Source organism: Homo sapiens, chromosome 15, assembly GCF_000001405.40.
Source record: "Homo sapiens chromosome 15, GRCh38.p14 Primary Assembly".
Classification (NCBI taxonomy): Eukaryota; Metazoa; Chordata; class Mammalia; order Primates; family Hominidae; genus Homo; species Homo sapiens.
The window spans coordinates 73,784,556-73,810,800 of NC_000015.10; the positions used below are offsets into that span (position 1 = coordinate 73,784,556).

Here is a 26,245-nt window from a genome sequence, read left to right on the forward strand (position 1 = left end):
GAGGAAGGCTTAATTACCCCCTCAGGCAGAGGGAGAGGATAATGAGGAGCAGATGAAAAGCCTGGGAAGGTTGCTCCTTCCAGAGGCCCCCACCTCTTAGCACCCAGGCTGCCCCCGGCCCCACCTTCAGCCTCTTTGGGCTTAGGTTAAGGCCTTGCACCCTGGTCTGCAGAGGGCCCCAGCACCCATGGCCCTTGTGTGATTCACAGATCACAGGGATTACCTTGGATTCTCTCTACCACAGTGCCTGAAATCTCATTAGCACTTCCTATTGGGGTCACACCAAGCACTCCTACCCAATCTAGAAAGAATGGTTAGAATTTTTCATACCACACTGGGATCCTGGGACAGTTTGGATAAGGAAGCCATACATTAAGGCCTCTGGTTTGTATGAAACCTGAAATTTGTGATGGAATGGGAAGCAAAGGACAAATTTCACAGAAGGAAGCCAGTGGAAGGGGTCATAGGCCTGCCTCCTCTTGGGGCTTGGCTGGGGATTTGTGGTTGGGACAACATGGCTGGGCTTGGAGACTCTCTTCCCTCCATTGCAGAGCAGCTGAAGGGCTTGGTGTGTTCTTGGCTCTCAGTGGGCAGGCAGGAGGGGAAGAGGAGGTGTCAAGTGTGTCTGGGCAACAGTGACAAAAGATGAGGGAGAGTAGTTGGGCAGACAAGTAAAGATCATTCTTGCAGGGCAGGCCCAGGATCCTGGGTTCTTTCTTGTGGGGGGCACGGGGTGATGTGGGTAGAACTAGGGTGTTTTGTCTTCTTGTTCCCCAACTCCTGGGCCATCCCTTGGAAATGCCACTGTGCTCAGCCCAACAGGGAAACCCTGAGGGCTCTGGCCCCACAGCTGCACACAGGCTTGCAGGGTGTTTAGCTTGAATGCCAGTCTGTCCTCCCCGGCGTTGTAGCAGGACTAGCCGCAGACAAAACCTCTCAGACACCAAGATGTAGAAGGAAGGGCTTTATTCCGCTGGGAGCATTGGCAAGCTACTGCCTTAAAATCCAAGCTTCCCGAATGCACAATTTCTGTCCCTTTTAAGGGCTCACAACACTAAAGATTTCACATGAAAGGGTTGTGACTGATTTGAGCAAGCAGGTGGTATGTAACAGGGGCTGCATGCACCGGGGGTCAGAGAGAAACAGAACAGGGCAGGGAGTTTCACAATGTTCTTCTATACAATGTCTGGAATCTATGAATAACATCGGTTTCTAAGTTATGAGTTGATTTTTAACTACTGGGTTTAGGCCAAGCAGGCCCAGGCCTGGTTTCGGGCCTGGCGCCAGGCTACCTGTCTTTGGTTTTACCTCCTTGTTGTTTTTTCTTAAAACAGGTACTGAGTATAAAACAATATAAAACAATATGAGAGGGTCTCTCTCTTCGCTCAGCGTGGGCACCTCTGGAGCAGGACAGTGGAGAGGGGCCTGAGGAAAGTACTTCTGCCTGGACTAGCACCTGCCCCGGTCATGGTTCCCCAAACTCCCCATTAGTGCTAGTTCTTCCCAAAGAGGCATCAGAGGGGCAGGGAGGTGCTGGGGGACACTGTGGTCCATGCTGCCATTGACTGATTTTAGGGTCCTGGGCCAGTTAATTTACTCTTCTAAGACCTAGTTGCCCCATCTGTAAAATGGGGTTTGTAACAGTATCTCAAGGTTGTAGTGAGGACTAAAAAAACATAGTGTATGTAAAATGCTCAGCATAATGCCTGGCATGGGGCAAATGCTCACCACTGTTAACTGTTATTACAGTTATTATTAATCCCGCTGGGCAACGTTTCTCAACCTTTTTAAATTCCAGGCTCACTTGTGATAAGCATACAAACCTCATACTCCTCCCAGTAATAGTATAGGATTTAAAACATCAAGGAAATAGAAGGTTGAGGCAAAAAACAAATCGAAGCACTTATTATATAGAACATGCTTTTTCAGATGAGAGAGCACCCCTGCCCCCGCCCCCCCAACACACATACACAATTGAGGCTCACTACAGGGGTGGGAGCTGGGAGGACTGGCAGCCCCCTCTGAGAGGCCTCAGGGTGGAGGGCCAGGAGCACAGGGTGGCCTCTGGTGGGTGCCTCTCCTCCCTCGCTGGCCCACAGTGGCCTCTGGATCCCAGCCCAGCCTCCCAGCTCTGGCAACAAGGGCTTTGAGGGAACAGAGGAAGCTCTTTGGAATACAAATATCTTTGGATCCTCCGGTCTCAGCCGGCGCCCTATTCTCATGCTAATACGGAGAGAGTTTGGGGGATGCTTGAAGGGGAAATTGCCAACTGTAGGAAACCCAGCCCAAGCCTGGGGCCCTGGGGACAGGGCTAGAGCCTCTGGGGTCCTTTCCCGTGTAGCTTCCCAGTACCCAGCACTAAGTTCCAGCCCCATGCCCCAACAGTCCTGGCACATCCCCTGGCGGGCTGGGTAGATTCTACAACTCAGGGTCTATTTGCTGGACAATTGCCCCTTCCAGTTTTCCCCATGCAAATAATAATTCACTTGGCAAATAATAATTCACTAGCGGCTGTTTACCGCAGCCCTCCAGTGCCAGGCTTTGGGGAGATGCTCCGTGCATCTTAGTTATCTCATGTAACCCTCACTGTGCAGCCCATGGAAATGAAACTCAAAGAGAGTGGCAATTTGCCCCAGATCTCGCAACTGTGGTGCCAGGATCCAAGTGCAGGTGTGTGCACCCCACTGGACTCACAGGGCTGGTGGCTTTGGAGACCTCATGAGCCACAAGATGGCATCAGGGGGGCCTGGGAGGTGAGGGGCATGGGGTTTGGCACAGCAGCAGTCTAGGCCGTAGGTACTACAGGCATAGACAGGACCCGCATGTCAAAAAAGGACTCGGTTGGTGGCTCAGGTCAGGCAGACAGTCTCCCCAGGTGCTGAGTCTGAGTTCTCAGCCCCCAGGCCAGGCTGGGGCAGAGGAGCAGATGGAGATGGGTAGGCGTTCTTGAGTTGACCTGGAATTTAGAAAGGTGATCTGCTGATGGCTTAGGGGGTATGCTGGGGGCAGGCTCTGGACCTGGACAATCTTTCCCTACTTCTCAGCTTGGTCAATACCTACTCCTCCTTCAAGGCCCAATTCAAACCCCAGCTCACTGGTGGAGGCTTCCCTGACTCTCCCAAGCTAACACCTAGCTCCATACTCCTCTCTTCCCCAACCTCTGTGGCATCATTTAGGTGCGGCTCTGCCTCCTGCCCTAGGCTGGGAAGTCCTGAGGGAAGAGGCCTTGCCTGATTCATCTCCATGACTCCAGTGCCCAGCATGGGACCTGGCACTCAGCATGGCTCAGGAAATGTTTGCAGAATGAATGAGTGACTCTACAGGATGAAGGAGGCTGTGATCTTCACTCTTGCAGAGTCTCCAACAAAAGGAAGCCACTGAAACCTAAGCAGGAGGGTGCTGCTTAGTATCATTGATTTCTCTGTGCCCAGCACCACATCTCCCCTGCTCTTCTCTGATTTCCACCATAATTGTGTGGATGGTTCTGGATGGACTTGGGCTCACCCTGTGCTGGCCCTTTTCCCCTCAAGTGCACCAACGCCAGGAAAGGCAGTTTGACCGGTGGATCAAAGCAGGCTGGAAGTGCGGGGGAGAGAATACCTCCAGGACAGCCCTCAACCAGCAGGGATGGGAGCCAGTGTGTAGCTGCTCCAGCCTCCCGCTTTCCAGTGGGGAGTTCTGGAGACAGAGGCCCCACCCTCCACTAAGGGACCCGTAAGACTGTCCCGTTAGGTTGGCCGTCCCTCTTTCCTGGTTTGCGCTCCTGCTCCCTCAAGATGGCAAGCTATGCAGTAGAAATTTCGTGACTGTGGAGTCTTATTCTCACTGGGCTCTGACCCTGATTCCTGAGGCTTCCAAGGGTTCTCTGGAGGTATGTAGGAAGCTCCAGTGGAAGAGAGCTATTCAGGGAATTATGTCCTGAAATTAAACTCCACGGTCCCCAAGGGAGGGAGAGAATGGGGCATGGTGACACTGGGGTGGGGATGGGAGAGAGAAGTTGTTGGGGGTTTGATGGGAAACCCATTTTGCCGTAATCGTATTGTGCACATTAAAACCACAGCTACCAGAGCAAAGGGGTGGGGGTGGAGGCAGAGCAGAAAAATGGCTAGAATGAGCTGGCAGGGGAGGGCGTGTCTGCAGACTCATTTGGGATAAGGGGTTGGGGGTTAGGGATCCCTTGGCCAGTCAAGGACAGCCCCACCCACCTCTTGCCAATTGGAGTATAGAGAAGGTGGCAGGCAGAGAGTGGAAACTGGGACTCTGCTGCATTGACACCTGCTAGGTGCCAGGCACGGCAGTAGGTGCTTTGCTGAACGCCACTCATTTATAAACTGCTTTACATGCACCACCACATTTAACCTTTGCAGTAGACCTTGGAGCTTGGCACTATTGCTATCCTAAGTTGCTATGAGGGAACTACACAGAGAGGGAAGTGACTTGCTCAGGATCCCCCAGCCGTTTAACAACCCCATGCACCACAGCTGGATGAGCAAGATGTCTGCAGTGAAGGGACAGAGGAATTGAGGCCAAGCTACTGGGGAGGGGTGGAAATGCCATTCTGGAGGATCTGTGACGTTGACAGAGACTTTATCGACACAACAAGCCAGCTAACCCCTAACGAACGTGTTGATTCATTCATTCATTCCATCAGTTACTCCAACATGTGGGACTGCATGGTTGTGAAAACAGAATATGACCTTGTAAAAGGAGAAGCCTTGGGCCCTTGATGCCAGGTGGGAGGAGGATGGAGAGCTCTAAGAGGACTGGAGATGCCAAGACGGCTTCTTAAAGAGGTGTGGAAGGACTGCGGATGGCTGCTTTCCCTCTTTAGATCCTGCTGTGGGATGCTAGCACAAAGTCTGGAAAATGCACCTGACTTTGCCTAGAGGGCAATAGGTCTCTTCCTGGGGGTGTCACGCAGGAGGGTACCTCTCTTGCTAGTCTTGCCCAGAGCTCCTGAGGAAGGGTCCCTGTGACAGCTCCTTCTCTCCCCTGATCAAGTGGCCTAGGCTTCAGGTAGCAGGACTGGTGAACTGGTTGGGCAGACATGGCTGTCCTTGCCTAGGCCAATGTAGTGCCAGCCATGGCCTTCCCAGAAGCCTTAGACTACAGGCAGAGCTGCCTCACTCTAGCTGTCCTAGCTGCTGGATGCCTGCCAGGTGTGTCTCTGAAGGCCTATCTTCCAAGACTCAGAGAGTGACCACTGGAAAAGACACATCTGGACCCTGAGATCTCCAATAAACTTCAAGTGTTCCCTCATCAGCGTCTCATGTGGCATAAACTTCCCAAATCCTTACTGAGGAGGTCATGATCTGTGCATATCTCTCAGGAGCCCAACAGCAACTATCTATTCAACAAATATTGGTGCTGGCCTTTATTCTGAATGTAGACTTCCATCGGGGCTCAGTGTGAGGCCAGGGTCAAGGCTCAGTGTACGATCAGGGTTGGGGCTTGGTCTATGACCAGAGTCAGGGCTCAGTGTGTGCCCAGGGTCAGGAGCCACTGCATGGACAGAGTCACGACTCAGTCTATGAATGCGATCAGAGTTCAGCCTGGAGCTGCTGTCAGAGACTAATCTTTTCCAGGCCTTGACTTTCCTTTAGAGCAAGACTACAGGCTCAGGGACTGCCTGCTAAGAGCAAGGTAAGGCAAAACAGGCTGAGTTCAAATCCTGGCTTACCACTTGCCAACTCACCTGGAGCAATATCCTGATCCTGCAAACCTTGAGTTGCTTACCTGTAAATGAGGACAAGGGGAGGCACCTGCCTTAGTTCATTCTGTGCTGCTGTAACAGAATTCTTGAGACTGGGTAACTTAAAATGAAGAAGTATTTATTGGTTCATGATTCTGGAGGCTGTGGAGTCCAAGATCAAGGTGTCAGCATCTAATAAGGGCCTTCTTGCTGTATCATCCCATGGTGGAAGCAGAGAAGGCATGTGCACATGGGGAAGTGGGTGGAGCGTAAAAGGGGGCCAAACTTGTCCTTTTATAAGGAACCCACTCCCAAGATAACAAACCCGCTCCTATGATAATGACATTAATCCATTCATGAGGGCAGAGCCCTTATGGCCTAATCACCTCTCATTAGACCCCACCACTAAACATTATTGCATTGGGAATTAAGTTTACAACACATACCTTTTGGGGCACATATACAAACCATAGCAGTGCCTCATAGGTTGGGAAGGCTTAACAGGTGAAAAACACCTAGCTCTGAATGTGGCACTTAGTGAATGCTCAGGAAATGGCAAACTCTGCTTTATCCATTATAACCATCATACTAGAGGCTCAGGATCTAAACACTTTACACCTGGTTCCAGTCCTGCCCTCCTGATTCAGGTTTGAGTCAGAGAGTCAAAGGGACCAGTCTCCCTGCTCATCCACGGCCAAGGAAGTCACTGGGTCCTGGGAAACTTCCCTGGAGTCAGGAAAGCTTGGGATAGGGAAGCCTCTTGGGGCAAAATCTCACCCCTTTGATGACCATCAGCTTTTCTCAGAGGCTTCAAGACTCTACCTGCCTGCTGCTTGTGCTCTCTGGTGGGCAGATGAGCCCTGCAGCCCTGGTCCCTTCAGTCCCCAGATTTGGGATGAAGACCCCAGTCTCCTAGATGAAGCTTGTAGCACTCCCTCCTGTCTGCCCTACTCTGCTCCAAGGGCCCTTTGCTGTCCAGGCTCTGTGTGCCTCTTCCTGCCTTCTCCAGCAGTCCCATGGCCCACTTCTTAGCCTCTCCCATCACAACCCTCCAGGATTCTTTCATTGTTTTTGGCTTCCTCTCCCACCCATCTTTCATTTGGATGTTTCCTAAGAGGACAGAATTCTAACCACCAGCCAGCCCTTCCTGCCCCATCCAACAAAACAGATAATCTGTTCTCCATTTTCCCAGAGGAGAAATGAAAACAAGTGGCTGAGATTGCAACAGGAATTGAGACGAGTTGCATTGGCATGGGAGAGCTGTGGGAGGCAGGCATGAGCTGGGGATGGGGTGCTCTTTTGGGATTCTGGTCACTAATCTTGAGTGGCGTAGGGACGTTTTGTCAGAAACAAAGAATGAACTGAGTAATCTAGAATCCCTGCTTCCTGTCTGAGGACCCCAGTCTTATCAGAGAAGCATTATGGATTCTCAGCTAGACCACTGGGGGCACATCCCAGCCCTGCATCTTCCAGGCTGAGTGGCCTTGGGCATGTCACTCAACATTTCTGGGCTTCAGTTTTCTTATCTGTAAAATGGGCTGTTGTGAGAAGTAAAGGAGCATGGAGCACATGTTCCATGTAATTGTTAGCTATTATTATCTACAGTAGCAGACCCTAAACACTTCCAGCAGCTCACTCCCAGCAGTAAAAAAAGTAAGTGTGGGCTGGGCGCAGTGGCTCACGCCTGTAAATCCCAACACTTTGAGAGGCTGAGGCAGGCAGATCATGAGGTCAAGAGATCGAGACCATCCTGGCCAACATGGTGAAACCCCGTCTCTACTAAAAATACAAAAATTAGCCGGGCGTGGTGGCATGCATCTGTAGTCCCAGCTACTCAGGAGGCTGAGGCAGAAGAATCGCTTGAACCCAGCAGGCAGAGGTTGCAGTGAGCCGAGTTCGCGCCACTACACTCCAGCCTGGCAACAGAGTGAGACTCAGTCTCAAAAAAAAAAAAAAAAATTAAGCGTGTCCCTAATACATATCAATATTAATTCATTCATAAATTATATGCATGTATTTCTGTGCTAATATAGTCTATATGTTATAAAATATATACAATAGTCATATTAAAAGTATAAGATAAAGAACAAAATATAAATAGAAGCTCTAATAGCTTCTTCCCATACCCCAGCGGATCCTCTTATGCCCCCACTGGAGGCAGGAACAGTACTTTGGAAACCTCTTCATGTGCCGGTAGCCTGAGTAAATTGCAGAAAAGCTTCTGCCAGGGCCGATGTGAGAGGAGAAGCTCCAGAGCCCCCACGTGGGAGCCAGGGAGTGCTAATGTGGGTGATTAAATCATTTACAATAATCCATTTGGAACAGCAGCCGTGTCTAACATGGGGCGTGATGACTGCTCCACAAATAGAAAGGTGGCCAGGGAGGCAGTTGGTGGGACATATTCCAAGGGCATGGGGTAGGCGCACAGACTTACCCTTGCTACTCACTGTCTTGCTGCAGTTCACCTGCCAGCCTCTGTGCCTGCCCAGTGCAATGGATCAGTCTGCCCCCTCCCTGCATAAATGTGCCTGTCCTCTTCTGCATCTGAATCGGTCCCATCTCTTCTAGGAAGCCTCATTGATGGCTCTTTTCTTTCTCTCTCTCTCTCTCTTTTTTTTTTGAGATGGAGTCTTGCTCTGTTGCCCAGGCTGGAGTGCAGTGGTGTGATCTTGGCTCACTGCAACCTCCGCCTCCTGGGTTCAAGTGATTCTCCTGCTTCAGCCTCCCGAGTAGCTGGGATTACAGGCACACACCACCAAGCCTGGCTAATTTTTGTATTTTTAGTAGAGACACGGTTTCAATATGTTGGCCAGGCTGGTCTCAAACTCCTGACCTCAAGTGATCCGCCCACCCCCTACCTCAAGTGATCCGCCCACCTCAGCCTCCAAAAGTGCTGGGATTACAGGAGTGAGCCACCACATCTGGCCCCTCAGACTACTTTTTCTACACTGCACCAGGCTGGTGCTTTGCTCCATACCCTCAGTGTACTTGACACTGTGGCCTCTTTGGCCCTTGATGACCACCTTCCCTTACCAACCTGACTCCCCTCCTGTTGCTCTCCTCTTCACTCATTCTGTTCCAGCCACACTGGCCTCCTTGCTGTGTCTCAACAAATGCTGAGCACTTCCCCACCTCTCGGCCTTTGCACTGGCTGTTCCCTCTGCTGGTTACAGCCCCTAAGCCCAGGTGACCCTCAAGGTTTACTCTATCATGGCTTTTCCATCTCATCTCAGCTGACGTCTTTCCTGACCAGCTAGTAGAAAATAGCAAACCACCCCCGTCACTCCTTATTTCCTTAGCCTGCTTTGATTTTTCCATAGCCCTTGTGTTTAATTGTTCTTTTTTTTTTTTTAACTGTCCACCTCTGCCAGCTAACCTGTAAGCTCCATAAGATTAGGCCTTTGCTTTGTAAACTGCAGCATCCCCAGGTTCTAGAACTGAACCTGACACATGGCAGGTGTTCAGGAAACATTGGTTGAATGAATGTGTTCCATTGCTATCCCATGAGGCTGAATCCTGTCTCTCCCTGGCCTAGGCCCATAGGAGAGAGGCTGGAGCTTTTCCTCTTCCATCTCTCCCGTTGGTCAACTCTCCAATTTAGTGGCTGGTCCCTCCCATCCGGCATTCTCCTTCACCATATCCATCACATGTTTAATTACTTTTTGGGAAGGTGTCTAGCTTCCCCATCACCTAACCCCCTAATTGCTCAAAACTAATTTTTTTGGGGGTGAGGATCTAAACGGTGCTGGATAAGAGGGAACCAGGAGGGCCGAGGAGCCACCCAGACAGCCCCTTCAAGATTTCCAAGTCAGTTTTGAAAGAGCAGCAGGCAGTTACTTTGCTCCCTAATTACCAGCCTCACTGTGGACATCCTCAGAAGACACATCTTTCCTAATTGAAACAGCAGGGTGGATTGCAGGCTCTGGGCAGCCTCCTTTGCCTTTTCTGGCAGGAGCCAGAGGCAGGCAAAGGTGTTTCATTAAAAGAGAGCTGTGGAAAGGGAGTGGTCATGGTGCCCACTGCCTCCTGGAGGCCCACAATTTAGACGCACAATGAAACAGCAAATATGACAACAAAAGAATCAAGTCCCTGGTCTGTCTCCCCATCTCAGGGCCTGGGCCTCACCTGGCCTCTCCTTCTCCCATCAACTCTCTCCTGCATAGCCACAGACTCCAGCCAAGTGGCAACTCTGCTGAGCACCTGCCCGAGTGGACTTTGGCCTCCTGCCATCTGTGAGCAGGGAGGTGTAGCTCAGGGGTGGTCCCGGGATCGTGGGCAGCCCCTCTCCTCCCTGGAAGAGATAAAATCTTGGCCCAGGCCAGCCAAGCTCAAGGTCTTAAGGCTTATTCAGCTTGCTGGAGTTGCTGCTTATGGCGGAGCCTACTGAGCCTACTGACTGCATTCCCTGTACCTAGTCTCCTCCTTTTTTCTGAGTAATAAGAACACTTCAGTTTTCCTCTAGGTGGCAAGATGCCCAGCTAAAAGACTACATTTCCCAGTTTCCCTTGCAGCTACATGTCACCAGTGATTTTGTGGGGTGGATTTTTAAGCAGATGTTGTAGGGAGGATTTGGGGGAATATCCCTTCAGGGAAAGACAGGTAGATAACATGTGCCCTTTTATTTTTCACTATCCTCCTTATTTCTGCTTCTTGCCCAGAATGTGGATGTGATGAATGGAGCTCAAGTAGCCATCTTGGGCCCACGAGGATGACAGCCATATATAAGGGATGGTAGGTCAAAAGATAGAAGGAAAGTAGATTCCTGAGCATCATGGAGCTGCCATACAACCTTGGACAGCTTAACTCCAGACTTCTTTTTTGGCAGAGAATAAACTGCAAATGTGCTTTTGCCACTATAGTTGAGTTTCTGTTATTAACGGCTGAAAGCAAATCCTAATTCACTGACCCCTTTAAGAATGTGGTAAAATGTGGGCCCTCACTCCACAGGTGCATAGAACAGCAAGAGACATGGACACACGTGTACACACACACACACACATGCACTCTCTCTCTCTATTTTTTACACAATTTGTGGGGGAGAAAAAGCCATAGACATTCTCCAAGTAAGCAGACTCAATCATTGTTTTAGTCTGTCACCCAGGCTTTAGTCCTTGTTGCTCACTGTGTCTGGGGCTTTGAGGTACAAACCCATGACCTGGCATTTAGAATGTGTTTTATTGACAGCCCTTTTGCATTTACTGCTGTTAGATCAAGTATTTGCATCATGGAGTAGAAAATAACCCAGTACCTGTTCTTGCCGAGTCCTGAGTGGGGATGGGGAAGGAACACTAGACTGATTTATTACCAATACAGATGGGATAAAAGTTAGGTCTGCAGAGGGCCATAACCAGGAGGTGCTCTGGATCACAGGAAACAGTGGCCTGCAGGAATGAGAGAGGGCTTCCTGGAGGAGGAAGGAACACTAGACCTGGAAGGGCCAGCTGAGAGATGTAGAGGGAACAGGGATCACCTGAAGGCAGCAGCTAAGATGACAATGCTAAGGGGACTTTGGCCTCGGTGTCCATAGGGGACTGAGCAGGCAAAATACCTTCACCTGGAGACACAGAGATCACTGTGGTCATACCAAGCCCTGGTGGGAGGGCGAGGAGTGTGAACTCAGTCTTTTCATCCTAAGAATATGACGGAGAGCCTTGCACATTGGGCCTGGCAGGCAGAACGTGGGGCCAGAGACCATGTGGGCCATTTCAGAGAATGGGAGGCTGGAGGTCCCCACCTTTCCCACCCTGCAACAGGTGCAGCTCATGAGGATCTGAGGAAGCCGCCCTACGTGGTCCCAATTCCTTGCGCACACTGCTGGCTGTCAGTGCCTCACTCTGTTTCCTCTGCCTGTCTTCCTCAAGGCTTGTGCCCTCCGCTGGCCCTTCCAGGTCTAGTGTTCCTTCCTCCTCCAGGAAGCGCTCTCTTATTCCTGCAGGCCACTGTTTCCTGAGATCCAGAACACCTCCTGGTTATGGCCCTCTGCAGACCTAAATTTTATCCTGACCTCTGCCTCCAGGCCTCGCTCTGCCAGCAGTTCTCCTCTATGCCTTCCTTCTAGTCTCTCTCTTCTCCCACCCACAGATCTCCATGCTCTGGGGCTCTCAAAGAATTCAGGGACTGTGGCATTCAAGGCCAGCTGGTTGATGTCACTCCTTCTAGCCTCGAGGAGAAATCTGCTCCGTTGCAACCTATGCCAGCTCAGAGGCCCCCCTCCTCCCACAGATACCCACTCTAAAAAGTCCTCCTCCTCCTCTCACCTGTCTTCCCCCATAAGGGTGACGGAGGTCAGAGAGACATAAACAACCTACGGTTTCCAATTAATTTTTAATTGCAACTTGAAATTCTTAATTGCAGCTGACACGCTATCTCTGATGGAGGCGCGATGGTGAAGGTGGGGGTGGCGGTGACCCAGTTAGAGATGTTCAGCCCCTGTCGGACCAGGCACTGAGCCAGCTGAGGAGAGGACCAGAGGGCAGCCTGAGCCTGGCTGGGCGTGCTGGCCAATTGCCCCAGGAATGCCATGGTGGAGTAGTTGTGCCTCGGGCCCTGGGCCTGCTCCCTCAGAGGCCAGAGGCCTGCACTTTGGCCCATCCTCTGGGGAGGGCTACCAGAGATGCCCCATTTGTCACTGTCTCATTATGGCCACTGAGGGTCCTGACAGGACAATGCGGCAAGCTCCAAGTGGCCCATCAGGGCCTCTACTGGAGCCCGTTTGGACATGCAAAAACCAGCCAAGTTCCAGACAAACAGATGAGTTGGTCACCCTAGCTGGAAAACAATTAGCCCCTTTGACACCCTTAGTTCTGGGAAGCGGGGAGCTGCCATTGAGACACTCTTAGATGGCTGGGGAGCTGCCCCTCCCCTCCTCCCACAGCTGTTCCTTGACCTGAGGTGCCAACATTGGGTCTGTGCGACCACAGGGTCTGTGGGTGCAGCTTCTCTCCTGGGCTAGTCGCCTGTGCGTTCTGCCCAGCAATCTCTACCTCCCCCCTTGGTAGGGAGACAGACAGGTAGATCTGTCTGTCTACCAGCTCCACAGGCAGGTTGTTATCTGATCTGGAGCAAGACATGTCCCTGGTCTGAGCCTTAGTTACTCCCTTTGCCCTTCCTCTAGTTCAGGAGTAGCCTGGTAGTGCCACTCGGGGGTAGCCAGTAGTGTGGTTGGGAGTTGCAGGACAGGAAGGGGCCAGAGATGGACAGCATCATCTGCCTCTGCAGCCTGTCCTGAGGGAGGAGCTCTCAGAGTGTGGGAGAAATCTCGCCCAGCTGCCACCCTGCTGTGGGAGTGGGGCGCCCATGGAAGGAGCCAGTCCGAGGCGTTCTGCCATCCTCTGCTCACCCACCCACTCCTGGCATGCATTTGCAAATTCTTTGGCTAAGGTAGCTAGTTCTCCACAGGCGCTATTACCTGAGACCTGCCAGCTAGTGACAACAGAAAGCCCGCACGTTGACGTCCCTCTTTGGCTTGCCTGGAAGTCTACTCGGGGCTGCAGGACTGGCAGGAGCGGGGGCTAGGGTCAGAGTGGGGCAGAGACCGTGGCTGCTTATGGGGCAGGGAGAGGGTCTGGGCCGGGTCAGGGGCTGGGGGAGTGGGAGGATCTGGAGAGGATGGGCTTTCCTGGGGAGCTGGGGGAGCATCCCATGGGTGTGCTCTGCTGAGTGACACAAATCTGGCTTTCACTCACTCATTCATTAATGCATTCATTCATTCACTCATTCATTCATTCGCTCAACAGAGGTTTACTGAGCAGCTGCCAACTGCAGGCCCCATTCTGGGCCCTGGGGGAACTTAGGAAGGAAACAGGCCAAAGCCAGAATACCAGTCCCAGGAAGCCACCTTTTCTCCAGGGGTGTGGTTCATGCCCCCTCCTGGCTTGGCCCCCTCCCTGGTGGACCCCCTACCTTCTCTATCACAAGTCCAGGTCTGCAGTAAGGTAGACACAGGGTCCTGGGGTTCCAACCTGGTCCAAGGGAGCAGCCTGGAGTGTGCTTAGAAACATTTGTTGACTAATGGGCTCAGGGACTGAGGGCCTGGGGAGCCTGATCAGGGAGCCTGCACCTGCCTGTCCCTCGATGTCATTCCCTCAGTCTTCCCGGCACTGAATGAGGCCCAGTGTGGGCAAAGCCGCGTCATCCTTAGCAGGGGCCCCCATCCCAGGGCTTATGAGGCACCCCAGCTCCCCAGGAGCCCCTCTGGGAAGCTGCAAACTCTGCTTTCCATACTTCAGAATTCATCTGTCCTGCCACCCCTTCCTTCAGACCCCCTGGGAGTCAATGGGACTCAAGGGATCAGTGAAATAACCCAAAGTACATTTATGATACAACCCCCTCAACCATGCATTCTGCACCTCCACACCCCTCCAAAGCCCTGCCCTTGGGGAGCCTGGAGACACATGGAGAGGGACCTGCCTGGGTCCTAACAACTGTAACATGTGAACACTGACCCCAAGTGACATGGAACCCTTGTGATATGGCAGGTGCCACACTTGGCACTTTACATACATAGTCACATGCACTGCTTATAGTAACCCCGGAATAGGCACTATCACTATCCCCATTTTACAGATGAGGACACTGAGGTGTAGGGAGGGCTCTCACTTGCCCATGATCATTCAGCTGGGGAGTGGGACCTCACACACAAACCCAGGGGTCTGACTGCTGAGCCCATGCTCCTAATGTCCACACGGTGCCCTCCTACGAAGCGAACCTAACAGCAGAGCACGATTAACAGCAGGTGAGGACAAAAGTACATCAGCCTGTTGGTGCTCAGAGGGGACGAGGCCCCTGTAAACGGAACACTCAGCGAAGGGCCCTAAAGGAGCGGGGATGGGGGCTCCTCAAGGCAGATCCTGAGCAGGACCCGCCCAGCACCCGCTCCCAGCCTGTCAGGAAGGCTGAATGAAAGAACACCGTGTGGATCTTCCTCTGGCCCTTGGAGGCTGTGCCCTCTGCTCAGAGAGGAGGAGCAAGGACATTAGCAGGAAGGGCTGCAGAGTGAGCTAAGGTCTGGAGGTGAGGATGACTCTGAAGGCCTTCCTGGAGAGCAGGCTGAGGAGGTAATGCCTGACTTGGTGGGGGAGGGGTGCTGAGGACCCGCAGGCCACTGTGGAATTGGACCCATCTGGCTGAGGCAAAGGCGCTGGCAGTTATGTTGCACTAAGTGGGCCAAGAGGTGACCTCTGCTTTGGTCTGACTTTGGCCACAGACCTAAGAATCTGGATACAGTTGGGCTAGAAGGGCCTTGGCAGACTGCACAGCTCAACCTGTCTTGTGCAGGTGGGAAGTGGGAGATCCAGGGAGGAGGGACTTGCCTGCACCCTCCCCACCTCCTGCTTGGGTGTGTGGCCCTCCCGCTGGGTGGGAAGAGCAGGCAGGAAACATTGTCTGAGGTTTCCAACCACACGGGAGGAACCCTGAAAAGACATTCCTGAGAGAGGCATAAACTAAGACCTAGAAAAGACAGAGGCTGACCTCACAGCCCCTGACTTCCTGCTTCAACCTCCCTTCCCAGCCCAGGCCAGTCTCTTCCCCATGGTCGCACCTTTGCTCAGCAGTTCTTCCCAGCGGGAATGACTGCCCCCACTTTCTATCTTTCTGTCTCTCTAACACTCACTTGATATTGACTGGACTTTTATGTATAGTTGGGCCCAACCCTTAGAACTAGCTCCAAGGGCTCTGGTTCCTCCAAGAATTCTCCCGTGATCGCATCTACCTGCTGACCTCTCACTCCCTTGTGTGACCCTGAACCTGAGACTGGCTCTGACGAGACAAATGGGGTGCTGTGAAACTTCCCTCATCCGTCCACAGGCCTGCTGCTCCTCCCCTGCCATGCTCTGAGCTCCCTGAAGAGGTGACCCCACTGCAGGCTGCCCTCCAGTCCTCTCTGCAACTCCCAGAGCAATCATACTGGAGAAGAGAAGGTCACCAAGGCCTGGGTCCCAGGGGAAGCTGAAGAAGACCCCTCCAGCTCACACTGCCTGCCCTTGTCACCTGCATGGACAGAGAAATGGCTTCTGTCCCTGCAGTCAGACAACCAGGCTTGTGGGCTCTGTAATCTCCATGACTTTATCCACCCTTCCCCTCAGGGTCTTACGGGACATCGCTATCTTTCAATCTCTCCAAGACTTATTTAGCCAGAGTCTTTACCACACTCCTACCTGAGTTTATCCAGCTTCTCTTGCATGCCTCCGGTGACAGGCTGCTCACTATCCACAGGGTCACTTCTTATCCTACCAGGGCTGGTCAAAACCTGTGTCTCTTTAGGTCAGCAGTGCCTGGTGCCAGAGGTCCTATCAGTAGACCCAAAGCTGGGTGAACAAAACAAAGGCTGGGCAACTCACTGTCACCTGGGCATGTGACCAGCCTTTGCTCTCCACTCTGGCTAATTCTTTTGTCTGGGGGCCACATCGCCTGCCTGCCCTCCCTCCTTCTGTGCGATTTTCTTCTTCTTCTCTCTTTCCTCCCCCCACTTCCTTGTATCTAAGGATTGCATGAGTCACTTCACTTTGAGCTGCCAGATGTCGGATGCAGTTGGGCTTGGAGTGGAAGCCAATTTTTTCCCTTTACTCAAAAAGAGCTTGGGGCTGATGAAAGCCCCCAACACTGTCATCCTGGATTTTTCAGGACGGTAGGATGGCTGCGTCAGCTAGCACCACTTCTTCCAGGTTCTGGCCTGCCCACCGTCCGTTCCCAACTTGGGAGGGCAACTTGTCCTCTCACTGGCACCAGGCATAGGGCCAGGCCAGCTCTGTGCAGTCCAAGGCACGCTCAGAATGGCCCTCATCATCTGGCCATGCAGAGCTTTGCCAGTCTGAGTGGAGCCCAGGGCTCAGGGCCAATCCCCGCTCCATCCAGGGAGTTTTCAATGAGAGCTAGGTACCTAGCTCCATGCTGGAGCTGTGGGGGAGACAGGAAAAAATAAAGAAGGGCCTCGCCTTCAAGGAATTGGCAGTCTGTCTAGGGAGATGAAATTCATACAAATAGTGGTTCATGCGTTTCTGTTTGGATTGTGCATCCACTCCCAGACATGACCTCATCCAGTTCTCACAGCTATTCAGCATGGGTGTCATCATCTTCGTTTTACAGATGAGAAAAATGGGGCTCTGAGAGATTAAGTGACTTGCCCAGGTCACATAGGTGGTTGTGGAGCTGGGCCCTGCCTCATTCGCTGGGCTCCAGAGCCTGGCATCTGTGCTGAAGTTGGAAAGGAGGGAGGGATGGCTTCCAGGAGGAGAAGGCCCACTGTCCTCTCCCCGTCTCCTCCAACTGAGGCTGGGCTCTCTCCTTTGCCATGAGAATATACCTATCTTGAGCACATTCCAGAGGTGCTAGGCAGGCCAGAGATCTTGTCTGTTGGGGAGTATGGAAGTGGTGGGGTGCTTTCTTAGATTGGGCTCCCTTGAACCTAAAGCCTGGGGCCAGGACTTGGGTACAGGAAGTGTATTGGGAGATTTCAGGAAGAGGGTAGCTGGGTAGTGAGACAGGGAAGGAGGAAAAGCTGATATAAAGGAGCATTAACAGAGAAGCCGCTGTGGAGGGCAGGGCTCTACTCCCCTGGTATCTCCCAGGACTGAAGGCCTAAAGGACGGAAGTCAGGGGGGCGGGTTATATATTGGCCACCATCACCCATTGGTTGGGGGGCTTCTCCAGGGAGGTGATGGCTCCTCTGGACTCCAGGAAGAAAGTGGAATCCCTGGCCTCAAGTGCTTGAAGCGGATGCTGAACTTGCACAGAACTGCCTATCCCAGAGTGTGGCTGGGCTGGAAGTGTCTTCTGCGGCAGAGAGTTAGGAACATTTGGTTCCGGGCAACCACATCTTAGGCCCTGCTGCCACCATGGAAGGCCCTGCTTCAATGACCCAGTGGGCAAGTTTTATCGAGCAGTTACTGGTGGGTGTCTGGCTGGGAGTCCCGGAGTCAGGTCAAGAGAGAAGTAAAGATTTAGGGGAAGGGGAAGAAAAAGACGTCTACACACTCCTGATTCATTTTGCCTACCGTCAGCATCAGTTCCGTAAATCTCTCCCCTTCCTGCTGGCTGGCTGGTTCCTCAAGGGCAAGAATCAAGTGCTATCCATCCGTGTGCTCAGCTCCAGCACAGGGCCTAGCCCCGACATGCCCAGAGGTGCTGCACTGAAAATCCAGCATGGGATTATGGCCCAGCCTTGGCTCTTGGCTGCCAAAGGTTGAATGTGGGTCTCTGGGCTCATCTCACAAGGCCCTGGGTCTCCAGGGCAGGGGAAATGAGGAGCAAAGCCACCCTTTTTTTTTTGTCATTAACAGAGTAGGGCCTCTGGCTCATAAAGCCCTGGGATCCCGCTCCCTCCCTTCTCTTTCCACTTGATTACTTGTCTCTGGAATGGAGTGGTTTCAGGCTGCCAAGTGTTTTGGGGAAAATATCCTGTATAAGAAAGACACATTCCCTCCATAAACTCGTATTGTGTTTTTGATTGTCTCCCATAAAGGAAGAGATGTATCTTCCAGTTTATGTTTACGACTGTGTAGATTAAAAAAAATCAATTCTTTCACTCTACATTTTTTCAGCCAAACTTCCCCCAGCAGCCTTTCTGCTGGGCCAACAGGCTGATGCCCAGAACTCGGGGCTGGAGGTTTCTCTGCCATCTGTAGGCAAGCAGGAGAGGCCAAAGCCTCGGACTGGCTGCAGGCCTGGCACAGGAAGGGAACTTCTTGTCCCTGCTTGATTTCTAAGCCAAGTTGGCTCTGGAAGGCAAGGGGTTGGCTGAGAGAAGGTGGCCGGCAGGGAAATAGGAGGCAGCCCCAGCCTGCACCAGCACCCTTCACCAGGCCCAGTGAAGCCTCTGATGGAGGTGGCAGGGAGCTCTCCCCGACCAGCCTCAAGTGCTGCTGCCTCCTTCATGAAGCCTTCCTGATTGCCCAGGGTAAATGGAACTCCTTGATCTGTTAGCTTCTTTGCTGGACCCTCTAGATTGATTTCTGATTGATTTTTGTCTGCTCCAGGGTCATTTGGAGTGATGGTTGCCTGGTATTTGAATAAAGAGCTCCCCTATCAGAACATTCAGGTTCAAATCTTAGTGCCTCTGTTCCTACTGTATGACCTTGGGCAACCAACCTACTTAACCTTTCTGAGTCTCACTTTCCTCAACTGGCAGATGAGGGGCATTTTGAGGATTAAACCAGGGGTATTTTGAGGATTATGGTCGGGTTTCAAACCATACCTTCTTTCCTGCTTTCTTTTTCTCCACATCACTTAGCACCATCTCACATCTTATGCTTCGTTTTGTTCAGTGCCTGTCCGCCCTCACTCCAGGAGGGCAGGGGTGCCTGTGCATTGCTCCCTGCCACATACCTGGCACAGAGAGGCGGCTCCATGGAGCGGACCGGATGGATGGTGCAGGATGAGCACCAGGCTCCGCATCAGGGCACAGTAAATGTTGGCTCTGTGCCCTTTCATGTCTGGAATCCCCAGTTTGGCATTGCAGGCAGGGGAAGCACTGTCCATCCAAGGCCGATCCTGAAGGTGGCCCAAGAGCCTGTCCCCAGCAGCAGACTGCAAACCCTTTGGGTACAGGGACTGTCTCTTGCCATTCCAGGGTCCTCAATGCCTATCAAGGGGCTTGCTCACATGGGCCCTCTTGGGATCAGAATTTCTTCCTATAAGAGGCCAGAGAACTGATGGAGGGTAGTTTTAGTCTAAACCATGCTGGCGGGTGCCAGGCTGTGGACTGCCCCATGTCTGTCACCAAGCTCAGCCCAGATGAGCCAGGCATAGGTCACCAACACACTCGCCCACCAGCTCAGCCCACAGCTCACACTAGCCTCAGTTATCTGGTTCCAGTTTGCCAAAGGCACTCTGACTCCAAGGTGGAGTGGGGAAGCCACTGACTTCTGTGTCTGGCAGGCTCCATTTCTGGAGAGTCAACTGAGGCCAAGCCCAACCTTCTTGAGCCTCACTTTTGACATCTGCAGAATGGGTGTGGGTGGAGATTTCAAGCAGGAAGCTAGTTCTCCAGTGGGACCCCTTCTCCTGGCAGCCCCTCGACTTGCCGCAAGTTCCAGCAATCACCCCTCACCTCCCTCTGCTTTTCCTCAAACCTTTTACAACCTTTTATTTTGTCTAATCCTCATGACAGATTGGTGGAAAAGCCACCAGGAGTTATTATGCTCATTTTAAAGATGAAGAGACTGAGGCCAAGAGGCAAAAATCATGCTTGGGGGTTGGCGAGGGGGTCCCCCAGCAGCCTGGGGCCAGACAGACAGTTCTCCTGCCTACCAGGCAAGCCCCAGCACCAGCTCCAAGCATCTGGAGGGCTGCAGCAGGGCGCTGGAGGGCTGCCCCCTGTCCCCCTCCCTCCCTCCCAGCTCCACTGGGGGGGTCTGCCGGGCTCTTCTCCCTCTGCCTTCTAATTGCTTGGAAACAGAGCTGACGGCAGTGGGAACAGCTCAGCCACTGCTGGTCTCATGACTGGAGGCTTTTGTTTGTTCACAGAATCATATTTTTACACTCTGGCTTCCGCTAATTTATGCCGCAGACTGAGCTCTCCCTTGCTGAAGATTGAGTTTGGGAGGGTGGGGAGTTGATTCCTGGGTTTATTTAGTCATCTTGGAGCCTATCAGAAGCCAAGCAGGGGATAAATTAACAACAACAAAAAGTAATAATAGCCAGGCTCAGGGTTTATTTTCTGGCGGTTCCCTCCTCCAATAGGCCTGCCGTGTTCCCTTAGCTCATCTGCTGAAGGAAGCTTCGCTGGGAAAATTAAACGGCTCCTCATTTAAGATGGAGCAATCAGCCCTGAGCTAGTCGCTGCTCAGCACCTATGGGAGCTCATCCCAGCTCAGCTGCAAGGGGAGAGGGAGGCAGGGAAGCCTCAGAGCACCCCCAACACACACACACACACACACACACACACACACACACACACACACGCACACGCACTGTAGCTGCTACCTCGCTCTGTGTGAAATGATGACGCTCAGGTGCACAGTTGCAACATCCTGTAGGAAACTGGGCTCTGTTGGAAGCAATCCAGGAGGGCTTCCTAGAGGAAAGGACCCAGGGATCTGAGAATGGGAAGGAGTCTGAGCCTGACCCATAATAGGCCAAAGGCGGGGATGGGGACAGCACTGCCGCAGAGAAGTGGGGAGGGGAAGAAAGCCATTTGGGGAGCCTAAATTTTTGCAACATCTCTCCTGAGATGGGCTCTGCCTCTACAAGTGAGGGTTGGGGCAAAAACACTCTGTACCTACTGCAAATAAAGTGAGCGCTGGTGCTGATGAAAGGGCATGGAAGGACCTCCCCTCAACTCCTGTAAGCCCCAGGAACATAAAAGAATTGTCTTGTACTTAGGAACTGAGTCAGGAAGGGCCTGAGAAGGCCCATGGAGGTCAAGTTCATGCACACAAGGTCATGAGAGCAGGGAGAGGGGATCGATGGGGACAAGAGAGAGAAAGCCAGCCTTGTGCCTCAAAGCTGGCACATAGTAGGTGCACAACGCATGTTAGTTCTTGGCTCCTTCTTTCCCTCTCAGGACATATGTGGCTACCTTGTCACCTGCCATGCCCCCCAGGGCCAATTTTGCCAGTGGGCACAAACCTGCTGATTGTATTCACCCATCCATCCACCCTCCCACCCACCAGTCTCCCTTTCATCATCTGCCCCTTCACTCATCTACCCACCCATCCACCCATCGTTCCACACCCAGCCTCCGATGCAGCCAGCTCCTACGCAATGGAGCCAGCAGAGCCAGCACAGAACCTCACCGGCAACCCGGCTGGCTGCCTGGAGGTCTCTCATGGTGGCGTCTACTTTGAGAAAGTACCACGGGCCTTGCTGCCAGCACTGGAGACATAGGAATCTGCTTTGGTGAGCTGGGTGCTAAGGAGATTCATCTCTCTGTGGCAGATTCACATTTACCAAGCTCACAGGGACTGATATTTATATACATACCCTGATGCCAATTTATTAATTTATAATAAGAAATGCTACTCAAGTGCAGCGGATGTTTGTCTTGGCAGAATAGCATCGCTCCCAGTAGGCAAGCTACAGTAGGAAGTCAAATTATCATCAAAACGCTGGGTTAGGAATTCACAACGAGAAATAGAACTTCTGAGGGTTTTCTGGGTACATGTATACTCCTGGGTCCGCTTCTCTCCCCAAAAGCAAGTTACAAGAGAAGATGATCTGAAGTCTCTCTGGTGAACCTGAATTAGAGAGCTGAGGTGGCACAGGGTTGTTGGTCATATGATTTGCTATCTGATGGCCTGATGCACCTGTCCCACCACAGCCCCAGATCTGTCTCAGGCATCCTCTGGCCTGGAGGTCAGCGAGTTCCAACCCCCACCGCCTAGTTTTTAGACAGCCTGCAAGCTAAGAATGGTTTTTACATTTTTAAATGATTGAGGGGGAAATGAGAAGAAGAATAATATTTCATGACATGTGATAATTATACGAAATTCAAATTTCAGTGCCCCAAAATAAAGTTTTAATGGAACACAGCCACATTTGTTCGTTACATATTATCTATGGTTGCTTTTGCGCTGCAACTGCAGATTTGAGACGTGGCAACAGACTGTTTAGCTTGAAAAGCTGAAAATATTTCCCCGCTGGCCCTTTATAGAAGTCTGCCGACCCCTCTCCCTTTGGTGGCCTTTGTCCCTTTACTGAACTGCTGCCATTCTTCAGCTCTGTTGACCTGAGATCGTCCACAGATCACCTGGCCTTCACAAGTCAACAAACTCCCAGCTTTGTTTGAAACTTTTATCAGAGGTGAAAGGCTGGTAAGAAGACCATGGTCTCTCCAGTGGTTCAGGCTTCAGGTACCCTGGGCAGGCTGTCCATCTCCAGGGAGAATGTTCTCTGAGGGAGAATGAACAGCACAACTGAGACCCTGTGGCCTTCCTCTGCTTTAAGACTGTGAAGCGTCGTCTGGAGTTCTTAAGAGGCAGCTGTGTGGGAGAGAGAGAGAGAAAAAGAAGAGGAGGTGAGGGAGGGGAAGGGGAGAGGGAGCAAAGAGACAGAACAAGAAGGAGCCCAGGAGAAGGCGGGAGGGGAAGCAGAGAGATTCACCGCCCTGTAGGAAGCATTCAAAGCATTCAAATGGCAGTGGCTCCAGGCCCATTGGTCCATTCTTCCAGGACTCCTTTGTCCTGAGCCTGGGAGGTGTGGGCGAGCTTGTCCAGGAGTGCCCAGGGTGGTATGGGCACAGCTGGGCGCTTGGGCAGTCAGGTTCTGGGCATGGCCTCCCATGTTCCCTCTGCCCTGCTGGGGACTGGGTTTCTGCCTCCTCTTGAGTAGCTGAGGAGGCTGGGCAGGATTCAGATTGAGCTTTAGGGGCATTCAGGTTGACAGGCCCCTCAAAGATTGAGAAAGGGGGGCTTTCTCTGCATTTGGTGGCACCTGTCCTGTGGTCCAGAGCCAGCTCCAACCCTGCCTCAGCTGGCTTCTGCTGGCCTCAAATGTAGGCCCTGGGCAGGGTAGTGCAGACCACACAGAGGTACCAGAGAAGATGGGGCACTGAAACCCAGAGTCTGAGATCCTTGCTTCAGGCACTGTCCTCTACTCCAAACTGCTAGGAGAAAATAAACCCTGGTTTGTTTCACATCTGCCTCACTTAGCCAGGCTTCCAGAGGCCATGGACAGAAGGCTGTAATTAAACAAATAAAGCAAAGAGAAGAAAACCTTTAAAACAACAATTAAGCAAAGCAAACAGAAGACAACCTTTAAAACAAGATGTCCACGGGAAAGCACATTTATTGTCTTTCCTGCTACTGGCATAGGCCTTAAGCTGGAAGCACCTGTCCTCCCATTTTATGGATGGAGAAGTCAAGGCCTCAGGTTACAAAGAGCCAGACACAGCCATGATGGGTCTTAGGCCTCCTGACCTCGAGTCCAGGACTCCTGTCTCTACAGAGAGGCAGCGTAACATCACAGAACGGTTAAGACCTTGGGCTCTTGTGTCAGAAAGACATGAGTTCAATGCCTGCCCCCATTCCTAGACAGTGCAAGTTTCAATCTCCTTTATAAAATGGGAATGTCACAAAGAGAACTGACCCACAGGTTGTTTTGAGGAATTAAAAAAGAGACTCCTTGTCAAGTGCCTGGCACATGTAGTTGGCCAACATGTATTAACTTTAAAAAGTCTCTGACGGGTACGGTGGCTCACGCCTGTAATCCAGTACTTTGGGAGGCTGAGGCGGGTAGATCACTTGAAGTCAGGAGTTTGAGACCAGCCTGGCCAAGTGAAACCCCGTTTCTACTAAAAATACAAAAATTATCTGGGTGTGGTGGCACCCGCCTGTAATCCCAGCTACGTGGGATGCTGAGGCAGGAAAATTGCTTGAACCTGGGAGGCAGAGGTTACAGTGAGCTGAGATCATGCCACTGCTCTCCAGCCTGGGTAACAGAGCAATACTCTGTCTTAAAAAAAAAAAATCTCTATTGTGCATTAGATGCTGGGGTTAGAGAACTGAACAAAACCCTGTATGTAAGAAGGCTTCCATTTAGTGGGGGAGAGATATCAACTCACTGTCGTGGAGGATATGGGGTGCTGTGGGTTGACGAGAGGAAGGGAACCAGAGGTCACTTCACAGAAATGGCAGGTGTACTAACTCCTGGCGGCAGAGCCGTTGTTCCTCAGGTGGAAGAGGGGAGGGGAGAACATTCCAGAACATCAAGGCAGATGGCCCAGCACAAGCAGAGGCAGAAAGAGACGTGTGTCCCTCCCAGGTGTGAGGCTGCCTCACTGGGCAGTCCTGGGGGCATTCTCTTTGCCAATGAAGGGTCGCTATTTGGCCTCCCATGGCCTGAGCTCGTCATACCCTCCCTCCAGTGTCAGCTCTGGGAAAGCAAACTGGTTCAATATTTGCTAAAGCCAAACACCATTTTGTTTCAGCAAATTTTCTGATGGAAAAAATTATTCTGTAATGAGGTCCCAAGTTAAATAGACTTGGCGTTTGGAATCATCTGGCCCTACACTTTGCCAGGTAAGATAGAAATGCGGTATGAGGATGAGGGGGATTAGTCTCCTTCACTGTCTCTCCCTCCAGAAAGTCCTCCTAGCTTTTACCCTCATAGGCACACACATAGATAGACACCCCGCCCCCCACCACCACATCCTAGCACCATTTAGCCTACATTCAGAATTTGTCTCATACCCCACCCAAGCACCCTGCCACAAATAGTTAGGCACAGTTACACTCACCTCTGAGCATATGCAGTCTCCCAGACTTACAATGTTATAGCTTCTGTGCACAAGTGCACGTGCATACACACACACATATGCACACACACACACACACACATACACACACACGGGGCTGTTCTGGGTGTTTCCTAAGGCCACTGCTCCACTGCTGCTTCTAATAACCTTCCAGATGCTGGAGAACAGAAGAATTGGGGGGTCCAGGACCTATGAAGGACTCCAGCCTCCCATTTGCTGCTGTCTGCTTCCCCCAGGCTGGGAGGGCACATGCAATGCTCCTACCCAGCCCTGGCTGTGCAGAGCCCAGAACTGTAGGCACCTGCTCTAACCATGTGCTCACTCAGAGTCGGTGGGGGCACTCCAGGAACACTCTATGGCCAGAGCCCAGGGAAGACCCCATGGGAGGCAGTGGAGTCCAGTGTGTCTGGTTCAGAATGGCCCGTGGACTAAAATCATGTCACTGCCAGGCTCCATGGGGATGTAGTTGGGTCTGACAGTCCTTGACTAATCTGTGCTTCTCTTCCTGAAACCCTGGCACTCTGCCCTCTGCCAGCCCAGCCACCCACAGCCCTGGGCACTAACTCAGCTGAGACAGACTCAGGAGAGGGAGGAAGGAAGGGAAGAGCAGGGGCAGAGATCCAGTTCCAGAACCAGAGAAAGACACCACCTCAGACACATGGACCCAGACGGGCTCTGGTTTTCAGAATTAAACCTGGAAACTCTGGACCCTGCCTATGTCTGTTTTCCTGCCTATCACACCTCTCCCAGCCTTAGTCACCTCCGCAGTTGGGTGAGCGCGTCCCTGCTCTGGGGTCAGAAGGGAGGGGTGTCATCCACCCAGCAGATGCTGACTCGCACTTACAGCCTGTCACCCGACAGAGCAGGCTGCACCCAGGCTGCTGAGATGCGCCGGCTATTTTTGTGGATGAAGTGTGATGTCACAGGTACAGGGACTTCCTGGATACCAGGGGGAGTGGCAGCTGGGAGGGAGACCTGTGCCTGCTCCACTGCTTAGCTCCAATGGTCCCTGGTCAGGGGTGGTCTCCAGGGTCACCAACAGCTTTCTCTTTCCATTGGCCTGCCCGTCCTGCAGGGGAGGAGTCCAAGCATTTCTCAACATCTCGGTGTGCCTAGGCCTGAGCCAGGGTGCTCTGGGGACAGAGCTCACCAACAGTAGGAAGATTCCTGGGTCCCGGACCAGTTGGGAATATGTGCAGTCAGGTGCCCAACCTTGAGTGCCCCAGGGGTTCTGAGATGAGAATTCCCCATGGTGGTGCAGTGGTCAGGGAAGCCTTAAGAGGACTGGCATCCTAGCCAGGGCTGGTGGGAGCCAAGACTCAGCGGCCAGGGGAATAGTGAACATGCCCTGAGGGCTCACC

The 26,245-nt window shown here is 52.3% G+C and overlaps 1 long non-coding RNA gene across 2 annotated transcripts, besides 3 other annotated features; it reads right to left on the reverse strand.

Annotated features, from left to right (window-relative positions):
- Positions 12,693-13,651: an enhancer, noted in NCBI's record as "H3K4me1 hESC enhancer chr15:74089589-74090547 (GRCh37/hg19 assembly coordinates)". NCBI's record gives its function as "activates a minimal SCP1, AML or CMV promoter by ChIP-STARR-seq in naive H9 embryonic stem cells {active_cell/tissue: H9 hESC(naive)}" and the evidence as "EXISTENCE:reporter gene assay evidence [ECO:0000049][PMID:30033119]".
- Positions 14,239-14,918: an enhancer, noted in NCBI's record as "H3K4me1 hESC enhancer chr15:74091135-74091814 (GRCh37/hg19 assembly coordinates)". NCBI's record gives its function as "activates a minimal SCP1, AML or CMV promoter by ChIP-STARR-seq in naive H9 embryonic stem cells {active_cell/tissue: H9 hESC(naive)}" and the evidence as "EXISTENCE:reporter gene assay evidence [ECO:0000049][PMID:30033119]".
- Positions 14,919-15,597: an enhancer, noted in NCBI's record as "H3K27ac-H3K4me1 hESC enhancer chr15:74091815-74092493 (GRCh37/hg19 assembly coordinates)". NCBI's record gives its function as "activates a minimal SCP1, AML or CMV promoter by ChIP-STARR-seq in naive and primed H9 embryonic stem cells {active_cell/tissue: H9 hESC(naive and primed)}" and the evidence as "EXISTENCE:reporter gene assay evidence [ECO:0000049][PMID:30033119]".
- On the reverse strand, positions 22,126-25,744 carry LOC105370892 (uncharacterized). Of its 2 annotated transcripts, none has more exons than XR_932453.2 (3): positions 25,645-25,744; positions 24,867-25,041; positions 22,126-22,611 (listed from the first exon to the last, which is right to left on the reverse strand). It is a non-coding gene; the product is annotated as an uncharacterized LOC105370892 (long non-coding RNA). The 2 variants fall into 2 exon arrangements; XR_932454.1 differs by lacking the exon at positions 22,126-22,611 and adding an exon at positions 23,185-23,309.
- Between the last annotated feature and the right edge of the window lie 501 nt (positions 25,745-26,245).